Source organism: Homo sapiens, chromosome 16 (assembly GCF_000001405.40).
Source record: "Homo sapiens chromosome 16, GRCh38.p14 Primary Assembly".
NCBI lineage: Eukaryota > Metazoa > Chordata > Mammalia > Primates > Hominidae > Homo > Homo sapiens.
Genome location: NC_000016.10, coordinates 2,239,402 through 2,252,943, shown reverse-complemented (window position 1 = coordinate 2,252,943; position 13,542 = coordinate 2,239,402). Strand labels below are relative to the sequence as shown.

General features: G+C 54.9%; 1 protein-coding gene and 2 long non-coding RNA genes across 4 annotated transcripts in view, besides 3 other annotated features; 1 reads left to right on the top strand and 2 right to left on the bottom strand.

Moving 5' to 3' along the window:
- The window catches only part of LOC107984839 (uncharacterized), a 1,554-nt gene extending 280 nt beyond the window's left edge, over positions 1-1,274 (bottom strand). The window contains exon 1 of the long non-coding RNA XR_001752052.2: positions 951-1,274. This is a non-coding gene — a long non-coding RNA (uncharacterized LOC107984839). The remainder of the gene's footprint in view (positions 1-950) is intronic.
- Positions 906-965: an enhancer, noted in NCBI's record as "active region_10262". NCBI's record gives its function as "activates an Ori minimal core promoter by ATAC-STARR-seq in GM12878 lymphoblastoid cells {active_cell/tissue: GM12878}" and the evidence as "EXISTENCE:reporter gene assay evidence [ECO:0000049][PMID:35858748]".
- Positions 1,216-1,685: a silencer, noted in NCBI's record as "silent region_7039". NCBI's record gives its function as "represses an Ori minimal core promoter by ATAC-STARR-seq in GM12878 lymphoblastoid cells {active_cell/tissue: GM12878}" and the evidence as "EXISTENCE:reporter gene assay evidence [ECO:0000049][PMID:35858748]".
- ECI1 (enoyl-CoA delta isomerase 1) lies at positions 1,357-13,542 on the top strand. 2 transcript variants are annotated; one of them, NM_001178029.2, is made up of 7 exons: positions 1,357-1,429; positions 1,515-1,628; positions 5,958-6,085; positions 8,392-8,538; positions 9,505-9,575; positions 9,720-9,898; positions 12,799-13,542. In NM_001178029.2, exons 1-7 carry the CDS (start codon positions 1,378-1,380, stop codon positions 12,963-12,965), a joined length of 858 nt encoding a protein of 285 aa, NP_001171500.1. In that variant the 5' UTR covers positions 1,357-1,377; the 3' UTR covers positions 12,966-13,542. The 2 variants fall into 2 exon arrangements, with proteins under 2 accessions (NP_001171500.1, NP_001910.2); NM_001919.4 differs by having other exon boundaries at positions 9,505-9,626.
- Positions 1,896-2,025: an enhancer, noted in NCBI's record as "active region_10261". NCBI's record gives its function as "activates an Ori minimal core promoter by ATAC-STARR-seq in GM12878 lymphoblastoid cells {active_cell/tissue: GM12878}" and the evidence as "EXISTENCE:reporter gene assay evidence [ECO:0000049][PMID:35858748]".
- On the bottom strand, positions 11,126-12,400 carry ECI1-AS1 (ECI1 antisense RNA 1). The gene is made up of 2 exons (NR_186393.1): positions 11,854-12,400; positions 11,126-11,309 (listed from the first exon to the last, which is right to left on the bottom strand). It is a non-coding gene; the product is annotated as an ECI1 antisense RNA 1 (long non-coding RNA).

Below are 13,542 nucleotides of genomic sequence, written 5' to 3'. Positions count from 1 at the left end.
CCTTGGAATGTGTGTGTGTTTTCAGACAGACTCTCGCTCTGTCACCCAGGCTGGAGTATGTACCATGGTGCGATCATAGCTCATTACAGCCTCCAACTCCTTCTTCAGTGTCCAGAGTAGCAGGGGCTAATTTTTTTTTAATTTTTTAATTTTTTTTTTGAGACAGTCTCTGTTGCCTGGGTTGGAGTGCAGTGGCGCAATATTGGCTCACTACAACCTCTGCCTCCTGGGTTCAAGTGATTTTCCTGCCTCAGCCTCCTGAGTAGCTGGAATTACAGGCACCTGCCACCATGCCCAGCTAATTTTTTGTATTTCTAGTAGAGACGGCGTTTCATCATATTGGCCCGGCTGGTCTCAAACTCCTGACCTCATGATTTGCCCACCTTGGCCCCCAAAGTGCTGGGATTACAGGCATGAGCCACCGCGCCCAGCAGCAGGAGCTAATTTTTAAGAATTTTTTGTAGCAACAAGTTGTTGCTATGTTACCCAGCTGGTCCTGAGTCACTGGGGTTACAGGTGTGTGTCACCATGCCAGGCTTGCTTCCTCCTCCGTTAAGTGGCCATTTTTCCACCTCAAAAATTGGTTTGGGACACAAGGAAGAATTGGAAATGCTTAAGATGAGAACAAAAGTTGAGACCACCCAACACAGCTGGGACCTTACTGCCCAGTGCTCCCAGTGGTCTGACCAAAACCCCACACCAGACAGTACAAAGGCCCACTCCCGAGCTGCCGCTTACGGCCCAGCGGGAACAGACTGTATTCTTATCTTTCGGCATTTCTCTGCAAATAAAAAGGTGCCACTGCGGTCCGGCCTTTGTGCACTTGCCCTTGTGCTGAGCAAGGCGGGTGGCCTGTTCTTACCGCTGGGTTCTGCTGCCCCCACCCCCATTTCGGTGACTAAACCTGCAGCTCTGATCCTGTTCCCAAAGGGGCAGGAGGCCGGGCTCACCCCAGGCAGCCCCTGGCCTCCCTGACGGCCCCCTCGGGAGGGGTTCCGTGCTTTGATCGCCTTTCCAGCGCCGATACTGCAGTAGCTGGGCCCGGCCGAGAGCTCGCGGTCACGAACACCGGCAGCCTCTTGCCTACAGTGTCCCGCGCTGTAGAAGAGCCTGCCCTGGCGCTGAGCTGGTCGTGGCTGCTTCAGCAGTGGGCCTGCGCCTCCTTGTAGGCCAGCCCTGGCCCAGATCCAGGTGCCTGCCCCGGAAGCGCGCGGCTGCCCGGGGTGAAGCCGGAGGGCGGCGAGCGGCTGTTTCGGCCGGTAGGTGGAGGCGTTGACCAGCCTCTGGGAACGGGGCGGGACCTAGTTGGGGGGGCTCCGCCCCCTCCCCAGGAGGCGAGCTCAGCCCGCGACCTTTATCCCGCGCGTTGCGGTCAAGATGGCGCTGGTGGCTTCTGTGCGAGTCCCGGCGCGCGTTCTGCTCCGCGCGGGTGCGAAACCCGGGGTGGGCAGGGATCGGGCCGGGGCCGGGGCCAGGACCGGGAACTAACGGGCTCCCCCACGCTGCCTTCGCAGGGGCCCGGCTCCCGGGCGCGGCCCTCGGGCGGACGGAGCGGGCGGCCGGCGGCGGAGACGGCGCGCGGCGCTTCGGGAGCCAGCGGGTGCTGGTGGAGCCGGACGCGGGCGCAGGTGAGCGGGCGGCGCCGAGGGAGGGCGGGCGTGGGGTCAGGACCCGCGGGGGTCCGCGCTCGCGGGGTGCTGTCGGAGAACCACGTCTGTCGACGCTCGGTTTGTGTTTAGAACCCAAGTTTCGAAACAGAACCTTGCCGCTCTACCTGGGTTCGTTCGTCATGAGATAAAAGTTTCTGTTTTTAAAGTTGGCGGAGGCCGGGCGCGGTGGCTCACGCCTGTAATCCTAGCACTTTAAGAGGCAGAGGCGGGCGGATCACCTGAGGTCAGGAGTTCGAGATCAGCCTGGCCAACATGATGAAACCCTATCTGTACTGAAAAATACAAAAGAAAAAAATTAGCTGGGCGTGGTGGTGCGTGCCTATGCCTGGGAGGCTGAGGCAGAAGAATCGCTGGAATCTGGGAGGTGGAGGCTGCAGTGAGCCGAGATTGTGCCACTGCACTCCAGCTTGGGCCACAGAGCAAGATTCCGTCTCAAAATAAATAAATAAATAAAAATAAAGTTGGCGGGGATATGAGCTGTTATCTAAGTTATTCAATTGGAAGTGGAAAAGAATTGGAATCTTTTGGAATAAAATTACGTTTGTTAACACTCCCATGTGGCACAGAACCTCGTACCTACCCGCCCGTCAGAACCCTTGGTAAAACCCACTGGAAAGGATAGAAAAAGTACTTTTGGAAGAGAAGCCTGTGCGCTCCCTCCAGACAGGAGGCCGAGCTGAGGGCACCGAGAGGGCACGCCTAGGCGCCAGCAGTTCTGCTTCCAGGACATGCTGACCTGGACCTCCCGGTGCAGCAGTCCCTGCTGTGGCTCCTGAGAGGAGGCCCTCCCCCTCCGCAAGTAAGTCACAGCCCCTGCCCTCCCCAACCCCCCAGACTCAGGGCTGTGCCCAACTTTGCACAGCTTCAGGACTCCAGGCTCCTGGTGCCTCTGAACTTGGTTCCGTCCTCTCTGTCTGGGCTGAGGGAGCTGCCTGGGCTCTCTCTACAAACTTGAGAGGGACAAACTAAGACCAACTTCAAACTGACTTTTTTTTTTTTTTTTTTTTTTTTTGGAGATGTAGTCTTGCTCTCCAGTCGCCAGACTGGAGTGCAGTGGCGCAATCTCCGATCACTGCAACCTGTGCCTCCTGGGTTCAAGCGATTCTCCCTCCTCAGCCTCCCAAATAGCTGGGATTACAGGGACCCACCACTATGCCCACTAATTTTTGTAAAAACTGAGTTTCTGAAGGGATCATTTCTGTAGCATATTTGAATATATCTCAACAAAATGCAAAAAAAAAAATTATTATTTTTTTTTTTTTGAGACAGAGGCTCCCTCTGTCACCCAGGCTGGCGTGCAATGGCGCGGTTCCGGCTCACTGCAATCTCAGTCAGGCCTGACTTTCTGACTCCAAACTCTACTTTGTCTTTTTTTTTTTTTTTTTTTTTTTTTTTTTGAGACGGAGTCTTGCTCTGTCGCCAGGCTGGAGTGCAGTGGCACGATCTCCGCTCACTGCAAGCTCCGCCTCCCGGGTTCACACCATTCTTCTACCTCAGCCGCCCAAGTAGCTGGGACTACAGGCGCCCGCCACCACGCCCGGCTAATTTTTTTTTTTTGGTATTTTTAGTGGAGACGGGGTTTCACCATGTTAGCCAGGATGGTCTTGATCTCCTGACCTCGTGATCCACCCGCCTCGGCCTCCCAAAGTGCTGGGATTACAGGCGTGAGCCACCGCGCCCGGCTTACGTTGTCTTTTTATATGGTAAAGTGGGGAGGCACTCGAGTAAAAAAATTGTCATTGTACGAACACTTTTCCTTTTTTACCGGAGGTAATGTGTGTGTGTGTGTACATAAAAATCTTTAAAATATGCCTCACATTTACCATTCTAGCCATTTTGCAATGTACAACCCCGTGGCCGTAAGTATATTCACAATGTGTAGTCCACACTACCCATTCCAATACCTTAAGATAACATGTTTTTGAGTCCGGGCCCGGTGGCTCCCACCTGTAATCCCAGCACTTTGGGAGGCCAGGGTGCGCGGATCACGAGGTCAGGAGATTGAGACCATTCTGGCTAACACGGTGAAACCCCATCTCTACTAAAAAATACAAAAAAAAATTAGCCGGGCGTGGTGGCGGGCACCTGTAGTCCCAGCTACTTGGGAGGCTGAGGCAGGAGAATGGTGTGAACCCCGGAGGTGGAGCTTGCAGTAAGCCGAGATCGCGCCACTGCACTCCAGCCTGGGCAACAGAGCAAGAATCTGTCTCAAAAATAAATTAATTAATTAAATAAAATAAATAAATAAATAAATAGGAATGACAACCACATGGATGAACCTTGAACACATGATACTAAGTGGACAAAGCCGACAACAAAGCCCGGCGGTATCCCAGTGATATGGAATATGGCTGGAGCAGGAAAACCGCAGACACAGAACGCAGACTGGCGGCTTCCAGGGGCTAGGGGTGGGATGAGGAGCAACTGCTCATGGGGACAGGGATTCCTTTTGGGACAATGAAAAGGTTCTGGAACTAGGCAGCGGCGATAGTTGCACAACACAGTCAGTATACTGAATTGTGTAAGTGCCTGACTTGTTTACTTAAAAATGGCTAATTTAGGCTGGGCACAGTGGCTCATACCTATAATCACATCACTTTGGGAGGCCGAGGCAGGAGGATCACCTGAGGTCAGAAGTTCATGACCAGCCTGGCCAACCTGGTGAAACCCCGTCTCTACTAAAAATGCAAAAATTAGCCAGGCATGGTGGTGTGTCCTGTAATCCCAGCTTCTCAGGAGGCTGAGGCAGAAGAATGGCTTGAACCCAGGAGGCAGAGGTTGCAGTGAGCCGAGATAGCGCTGCTGCACTCCAGCCTGGGCAACAGAGCGAGGCTCTTGTCTCAAAAAAAAAATAAAGATAGAAAATGGTTAATTTGGCCGGGCATGGTGGCTCACACCTGTAATCCCAGCACTTTGGGAGGCCGAGGCGAGGTGTTCACGAAGTCAAGAGATCGAGACCATCCTGGCCAACCAACATGGTGAAACCCCATCTCTACTAAAAATACAAAAATTAGCTGGGCATAGTGGCGCATACCTGTAGTCCCAGCTACTCAGGAGGCTGAGGCAGGAGAATCGCTTGAACCCGGGAGGTGGACGTTGTAGTGAGCTGAGATCGCGCCACTGCACTCCAGCCTGGGCGACGAGCGAGACTCTGTCTCAGAAAAAAATGATAGAGAGAGAAAGAGAGAATGGTTGATTTAAAAAGCATGCAGTTTATATAGAATAAATAAAATTGTTAATTTATGTTATATCGATCTTACTTCAATGTAAAAAACCAAGGGCTCACTCCTGTAATCTAGCACTTTGGGAGCCTGAGGCAGAAGGACCACTTAAGCTCAGGAGTTCAAGACCAGCCTGGGCAACAAAATAAGACCTCGTCTGTACTAAAAAATAAAAAAGATTAACTGGGTGTGGTGGCGCTTGCCTATAATCCCAGCTACTCAGCAGGCTGAGTTGGGAGGATCGCTGGAGCCCAGGAGGTCAAAGCTGCAGTAACCAGAGATCACACCCCTGCACTCCTAGGTGATAGAGTGAGACCCTGTCTCAAAAATAATAATAATAAAAAAATAACCCCCAGGCCGGGCGCTGTGGCTTACGCCTGTAATCCTGGCACTTTGGGAGGCCGAGGCGAGCGGATCACCTGAGGTTGGGAGTTCAAGACCAGCCTGACCAGCATGGAGAAAACCCCGTCCCTACTAAAAATACAAAATTAGCTGGATGTAGCGGCACGCACCTGTAATCCTAGCTACTCGGGAGGCTGAGGCAGTCGAATCGCTTGAACCCAAGAGGCAGAGGTTGCGGTGAGCCAAGATCGCTCCATTGCACTTGAACCTGGGCAACAAGAGCAAAACTCCGTCTCAAAAAAGTAAATAAAAATAGGACCAGGCGCGGGGGCTCACGCCTGTAATCCCAGCACTTTGGGAGGCCGACGTGGGCAGATCGCGAGGTCAAGAGATCGAGCCCATCCTGGCTAACACGGTGAAACCCTGTCTCTACTTAAAAGAAAAAAATTATCCGGGCGTGGTGGTGGGCACCTGTAGTCCCAGCTACTCAGGAGGCTGAGGCAGGAGAATGGTGTGAACCCGGAAGGCAGAGCTTGCAGTGAGCTGAGATCGCGCCACTGCACTCCAGCCTGGGTGACAGAGCGAGACTCTGTCTCTAAATAAATAAATTAATAAATAAAACCCCCAAAATGCACAGCTATCATGGCTTAGTTGAGGGTGCAGGCTGGTCAGGCTGCTTTTCCAGTGCCAGGTGTGAGCTTTCTCTTCTCATTCTTTAAATTAGGGGTCGCTGTGATGAAATTCAAGAACCCCCCAGTGAACAGCCTGAGCCTGGAGTTTCTGACGGAGCTGGTCATCAGCCTGGAGAAGCTGGAGAATGACAAGAGCTTCCGCGGTGTCATTCTGACCTCGGTAGGTGCTAGTTCAGCTCCCTACCCCAGCCCGAGTTCTTGGCCTGAGTTCTCTGATGTGAGCCCAGGCCTGTTGCACATGGAAGAGGCAGAGCCTGCCAACGTGTGGCACAGGCCAGCCGGCAGCCCCACCACCCTGGACTCCAGGCGCCTTCACGGGAGGCTTCCAGGAGCACCGTCTGGGTGTGCCCCAGCAGGGACCCAAACTGCCATGGGCCTCAAGCAGATCATTCCCAAAGGTGAAGGTGGACCAGTCTCAGAGACAGCCTTCCCAGGAGACAGCTTTCCCAAGAGACGCCCTTCCCGGGAGACAGCCTTCCCAAGAGGCAGCCCTCCTGGGAGACCGCCTTCCTGGGAGACAGCCTTCCCTGCCCGGGCCGTCGTCCAGGCGGACACTGGGGAGAGCTGTGGGCAGCGAGTGAGGGAGAGCCATGCATCTATGGGGTCACCTTGGACCCTAAGCACACCTGGTGGTGGGTTCCTGGAGTGCTCCCCACTAGGATCACTTGGGTGCCCTGAGCCAGTCCTGCGAACAATACCCATGCTCTCTGATCCTCTGTGGGCCAGTCTTCAGGGCGAGTTCTCAAGGGTGAACCTCTTTGGTCTGAGTTCTTGTGCAGGGGACTCTAAATGTTGCCTGAGTGCTGGCGAACGCTAGGCGTGTCATCTGTGGGAACGGTGTCATTACCAACATCGCCGAGGGGCAGTAAGCAGTGTCAGGCCCAGGAGGATGGGACCCTTGAGGAGAAGCGGGCATTGGCTGAGGTGAGGGGAGTGAGGGGTCCTCGGAGGCTGGCGTGGCTTTACAGGGCCTGGCCTAGAACTCCTGACCTCAAGTGATCTGCCCACCTCGGCCTCCCAAAGTGCTGGCCACGTCCAGCCTTATATATTTATTGAGACAGAATCTCCCTCTCTTGCCCAGGCTGGAGTACAGTGACGTGATCTTGGCTTACTACAACCTCCGCCTCCTGGGTTCAAGCGATTCTTGAATCTTGAAAATTTTTAAAATTTTTGGGAGAGACAGTGCCTTTATTGCCCACGTTGGTCTTGAACTCCTGGGCTCAAGCACTCCTCCCACCTCGGCTCCCCAGTGTGCTAGGATTACAGGTGCGAGCCATTGCACCTGGTTAATTTTTTTGCTTAATTTTTACTTTTTTGTACAGGCGGGGTCTTGCTATGTTGCCCAGGCTGGTCTTGAACTCCTGGCCTCAAGCAGTTCTCCAATCTTGGCCTCCCAAAGCTCTGGGATTACAGGCATGAGCCACCACGCCAGGCCTGGGTTTTGAGTAACGGAAGTAGAACGCGTTTTGTAGAAACAAAGGACCGGCCTACCCATTCTGTGCGGCACCAGCTCACACCTGTTTGGGAACAGCGGAGCTGCGTTGCCCACCCGCACCGTTCCTGGCTTTTTCACATCGCCTGAGGATGTGGAGGCCATCCCATCTGTCCCAGCCGCCTCCTCCTCGCACACATTAGGTGGCTGTCGCCCTCCTTCCTGCAGACAGGGCGGGGTAAACATCCACCCAGCTCTGCTTGTGTGAGTCAGGGTGAGCTGGGTTCAGCTGCAGGAACAAGTTCACCCACAGCCTTGGGGGGTCTGGCCCTCGGGAGGAAAACGTGCCGTGTTGTGCAGAGGGGAAGGTACCCTTGTCATTTGCTCAGGGGGCTGTGACCATGCAGGGTCCCCAGGGTGGGTTCTCCACTCCTCCCCGAGCCCGCCTCCCTGGCCGGCAGCCCTGACTGGGAGTCTGAGGCTCCTGTGCTGGCGCCCGCTACTCCAGCCGTGGGAGGGTCCCTTCCACCTGTGCTCACCCCTCGCCCTTCCTTGGTAGCTGCTGAGAAACCCACACATTCCAGATCATTCTCCCACCCTAGCACTTCCTGGTCCACACGGGGGTCCCTGGCTTGCTTGGCCCTTTGCGGGTAAATGATTCAGAACGTGCAGCTCCTCTGGATTCTCAGGAGTCTTCACCACACCTCTGGGTTCTTCTGCCCGAGCCAGGCGTGCAGAGCCAGAGGGCCGGCGCACTTATGTCCCTGAGAGGTGCCTGGCGCTGCCTGTCCTCTCCTATCCAGTTTGAAGCGGGAAAGGGAAGAATGTTCTGGGAAGTACAGGGAAGCCAGGTCCAGGAGAAGCCTTGGCCGAGTCCCTGGAGCGCCTAGTCCTGGCTCTGTGGGGCAGCACCCACACCCTGAGCGTGACCTGGCCCTGCTGTGCGTCGTGCACCTGGGCTCCCCAGCCCTCCTGCTGTGATGCCAGCTGGGAGGTGGACTCTGATGGGCATGTGGCCCCGGCTCCCCCTGCAGGACCGCCCGGGTGTCTTCTCGGCCGGCCTGGACCTGACGGAGATGTGTGGGAGGAGCCCCGCCCACTACGCTGGGTACTGGAAGGCCGTTCAGGAGCTGTGGCTGCGGTTGTACCAGTCCAACCTGGTGCTGGTCTCCGCCATCAACGTGAGTGTCCCCACTCCCAGGTGGCCTCGCTGGCTGTTCTGGGCCAGCGCCAGGGGGTGGGACAGACACTGTCCTGCCCTTGGAATCTCTCACAGGGGAAGGGGACGGTTGGAGAGGCCCTGAGATGTGCACAGGTGAGCGCCATCGCAGACCACGGGGCGTGTTGAGAAAGGTGGGCCTCGGGTGAGGGCCCTGGCCTGGGTCAATCAGACAAGACCCAGAAAAGAGCCAGTGGGTAGGGACCAGGGCCTGGGGTTGATGCCAGCCTGGGTGGAGGCTGTGTGGGTGAGTGGGTGATCGGACCCACATTTTGGAAACATCACTCCATCCCTTCTGGGGGAAGGCCAGGGAAGCCGAGAACAACACGGGGGCTTAACCTCAGGAACCAGGGTGTCCTGCGGGGTGGCTGTGACAAGCCGGGTGTGGGCCGGAGCCTGGTGGAGGGGAGGGCTGGTGTGAGAGGAAGCCTCAAGGGTGCACGGCCATGCAGACAGGATGGGTCCTGCGCGGGGCAGTGGGTACCTGCAGTGACCACAGGGTGAGTGTGGGGTTCCCAGGACATCCTGGTTGCGCTAGCTGCTGGGGTGGTATCGGGGCCCCCTTGGGGCATGACAGTTATGACTAAATGCTTGTGTGGCATTTTAGCATTGAGTAAAAGCACTGAGAGGACAAGCGACTTGCTCCCCTAACTGAATGGTTTTTAAAAGTGATTTATCTGTTGCCGAAGAACTAATGACCCTCGGCTGAGGACGAGCCTCAGACCCTCCTTGCCGAGCGCTAAGGGGCCAGTTCCTTCCTCATCCATTTCCCAGTGCACACCCAGCCCAGCCCAGACCATTGTGGGTGTTGAACCCTGCGGGGGTCGGGGTGCGCCAAGGGCACAGGCCCTCCTTCCTTGGACCTGGCCCTCTGGAATGTGGTTGGGACCAGCAGCACCTAAGAGCCCTGTCCGGCCTCTCCCTGCAGGGAGCCTGCCCCGCTGGAGGCTGCCTGGTGGCCCTGACCTGTGACTACCGCATCCTGGCGGACAACCCCAGGTACTGCATAGGACTCAATGAGACCCAGCTGGGCATCATCGCCCCTTTCTGGTAAGGCCCTGGGCTGCAGCCACGCTCCATGCTTGTTGTGGAGGGAACAGACCCGCCTGGGGCCATGTGGTGAGTGGGTGTCTGCATTTCCAGGTTGAAAGACACCCTGGAGAACACCATCGGGCACCGGGCGGCGGAGCGTGCCCTGCAGCTGGGGCTGCTCTTCCCGCCGGCGGAGGCCCTGCAGGTGGGCATAGTGGACCAGGTGGTCCCGGAGGAGCAGGTGCAGAGCACTGCGCTGTCAGCGATAGCCCAGTGGATGGCCATTCCAGGTGAGGCACGGGGCATGGCGGGCGCCCGATGATGCTGGGGAGACCAGAAGGTTCTCCACCCAAAGGTTTTCTGTGGACATCGTGACTTCGGGAGACTGTTGATAATCACAGCCATGTGGGTGTCAGGAGGCTGCTGTAACAACGCAGCACAGACCGGGTGGCCCAGACCGCAGAAGCTCATCTCACGGTGCTGGAGACCAGAGGTGCAAAATCAAAGTGTGGGCAGGACTGCACTTCCTCCCTGCGTTCCAGGGAGGCTCCTTCCTGCCCCGCCCACTTCTGCTGGCTCCAGGCCTCCCTGGGCTTGTGGGCGCCTCGCTCTAATCTCTGCCTCCATCCTTACGCAGCTTTCTCCCCTGTGTTTCTGTGGGTCTCAGGTCTCTCTCTCCCTTCTCAGGACACCTGCCATGTGATTTAGGACCTACCTTAAATCCAAGATGATCCCAACTTAATTACATCTGCAGAGACTCTTTCCAAATAAGGTCACACTTCCAAGTTCCAGAGCAGTGGTTAGGGCTTGGACCTATCTTTTGGGGCACACTTTTCAACCTACTACAAAGACAATTGTCCACTTCATAGAAAAAGAGCTGGTCATATCAGCGATGGTATAGACCAGGGCCCAGCAAATTCTGTCTCTAAAGGGCCAGGTGGCTTGTGGGCTCTGTAGGTAAGACCTTTGTAGCAGAAAGCAGCCACAGAGGAGACGTAAACTGACAGGTATAGCTGTGTTCCGGCAAAGCTTTATGGACAGTGGGCCAGGTGCGGTGGCTCACGCCTGTAATCTCAGCACTTTGGGAGGCTGAGGCAGGCAGATCACTTGAGATCAGGAGTTCAAGACCAGCCTGGCCAACATGGTGAAACCCCATCTCTACTAAAAATACAGAAATGGGCCAGGCGCGGTGGCTCACACCTGTAATCCCAACATTTTAAGAGGCCGAGGCGGGCGGATCACAAGGTCAGGAGATCAAGACCATCCTGGCTAACACGGTGAAACCCTGTCTCTACTAAAAATACAAAAATTAGCCAGGTGTGGCGGCGGGCGCCTGTAGTCCCAGCTACTCGAGAGGCTGAGGCAGGAGGATGGCGTGAACCCGGGAGGCGGAGCTTGCAGTGAGCTGAGATCGCACCACTGTACTCTAGCCTGAGCAACAGAGAGCAGGACTCTGTCTCAAAAAAAAAAAAAAAAAATGAGCCGGGCGTGATGGCACGTGCCTGTAATTCCAGCTACTGGGAGGTTGAGGCAGGAGAATCGCTTGAACTTGGGAGGCAGAGGTTGCAGTGAGCCAAGATCATGCCATTGTACCCCAGCCTGGGTGACAGAGTGAGACTCTGTCTCAAAAACAACAAAAAAAATTTTATGGACACTGAAATTTGAGTTTCACATAATTTTCACATGTCACAAAATACTAACCTTCTTTTGATTTTCAACTATTCAAAAATGTAAAAACCAGCCCGGCACAGTGGCTGAAGCCTGTAATCCCAGCACTTTGAGAGGCCAAGGTGGGCGGATCACCTGAGGTCAGGAGTTTTAGACCAGCCTGGCCAACATGGCAAAACCCCGTCTCTACTAAAAATACAAAAATTAGCCGGGTGTGGGGGCAGGTACCTGTAATCCCAGCTACTTGGGAAGGCTGAGGCCGGAGAATCACTTGAACCTGGGAGGCGGAGGTTGCAGTGAGCCAAGATCATGCTACTGCGCTCCAGCCAGGACGACAGAGTGAGACTCCTCTCAAAAAAAGTAAAAACTATTCATAGCTTCAGGGCCTTGAGAAGCCAGATTTGCCAACCCTGATACAAATGACTGAAGGCTGTGCTGCCATTTCCTGTGCTGTAAGACAGTATTTAATATAGTGCCATGGAAATTTTTTTATTTTTATTTTATTTATTTTTTTTGAGATGGAGTCTCCCTCTTGCTCAGGCTGGAGTGCAGTGGTGCGATCTCAGCTCACTGCAACCTCCACCTCCTGGGTTCGTGCCATTCTCCTGCCTCAGCCTCCTGCGTCGTGGAAATATTCTTCATAATATAGTTGAGTGAAAATGACACGTTAAGTCGCTGGGCGCGGTGGCTCACACCTGCAATCCCGGCACTTTGGGAGGCCAAGGAGGGTGGATCACCTGAGGTCAGGAGTTCGAGATCAGCCTGACCAACATGGTGAAACCCCTTCTCTACTAAAAATACAAAAATTAGCCGGGCATGGTAATGCTCCTGTAATCCCAGCTACTCAGGAGGCTGAGGCAGGAGAAGTGCTTGAACTTGGGAGGCGGAGGTTGCAGTGAGCCAAGGTCACGCCACTGTAGTCCAGCCTGGGTGGCAGAGACAGACTCCATCTCAAAAATAAATAAATAAATAATACAAAATTAGCCAGGATGTGTGTGCACGCCTGTAGTCCCAGCTACTCAGGAGGCTGAGGTGAGAGGATCACCTGAGCCCAGGGATTCAAGGCTGCAGTGAGTCGTGATCACTAGTGCACTCCAGTATGGGCGACAGAGAATATCCTGTCTCTTTAAAAACAAAACAAAACAAAAAAAAATTAGGGCCGGGCGTGCTGGCTCATGCCTGGAATCCCAGCACTTGGGGAGGCCGAGATGGGTGGATCACCTGAGGTCAGGAGTTCGGGACCAGCCTGGCCAACATGAGGAAATCCCATCTCTACTAAAAATACAAAATTAGCCGGGTGTGGTGGCACACGGTTGTAATCCCAGCTACTCAAGAGGCTGAGGCAGGAGAATCACTTGAACTCGGGAGGCGGAGGTTGCAGTGAGCCAAGATCCCACCATTGCACTCCAGCCTGGGCGACAGAGCAAGACTCCGTCTCAAAAAATAAAAATAAAAAATAAGTTGGGAATCACCCCACTGCCCCTGAAAGTGGGATTTCAGTGGCACGTCCCATTCTCTTTAGACCATGCTCGACAGCTGACCAAGGCCATGATGCGAAAGGCCACGGCCAGCCGCCTGGTCACGCAGCGCGATGCGGACGTGCAGAACTTCGTCAGCTTCATCTCCAAAGACTCCATCCAGAAGTCCCTGCAGATGTACTTAGAGAGGCTCAAAGAAGAAAAAGGCTAACGATTGGGCTGCCACAGGCTTACGGCCACACGTGCCCCTGTGGGTCCCAGGGAGGTCTTAAACAAGGTATTTTTCAACTTAAAAGTACTGCCAGCGTTTCATTTTGCTGATGTTACGTAGAAGTTCCTGTTCCTCATAGCCCAGTGGCCCAAGGCCCAGCCACACACAAACACACATGGGTGCCTGTGCCCGTCAGGCAAGGGGAGTTGGAGGGCAGCCTTTTGACTTGGGATTGTGACTGGCAGGGGATGCCATTCTGGACCTGGTGAGGTTGCCACGGAGTGTCTCTGTTCCCAAGGCAGAATCGTAAGTCAAGTCCCTGGTCATCCATTCTGGCCTTTGGACTGCCTGCTCTTAGGTGTAAGGCCAGGTGGTCTTGGCCCCCATGACCCACACAGAACTCCCCAGGGAAAAGCCCTTTGGTCACTGCCCTTACTCATCAGGATGAAGAGCGCACAGTGAATCAGAGCAACTGGGGGATCCTGAGCCAGCGGGAGTGGGACTCTGGAGGCAGCTGTGCTGCCAGGGATCCAAATGTCCCTTAAGAAGGATTTTGCAAGAACCAAACTCATCCAAA

What these genes read in the sequence shown, in the direction of transcription:
- ECI1 (NM_001919.4), top strand. Translation starts at nt 1,378, where the DNA reads ATGGCGCTGGTGGCTTCTGTGCGAGTCCCGGCGCGCGTTCTGCTCCGC. An exon ending in GCGCGTTCTGCTCCGCGCGG is followed by an intron (nt 1,430 to 1,514) that starts GTGCGAAACCCG and finishes CTGCCTTCGCAG; the next exon opens with GGGCCCGGCTCCCGGGCGCG. An exon ending in GCGGTGTCATTCTGACCTCG is followed by an intron (nt 6,086 to 8,391) that starts GTAGGTGCTAGT and finishes CTCCCCCTGCAG; the next exon opens with GACCGCCCGGGTGTCTTCTC.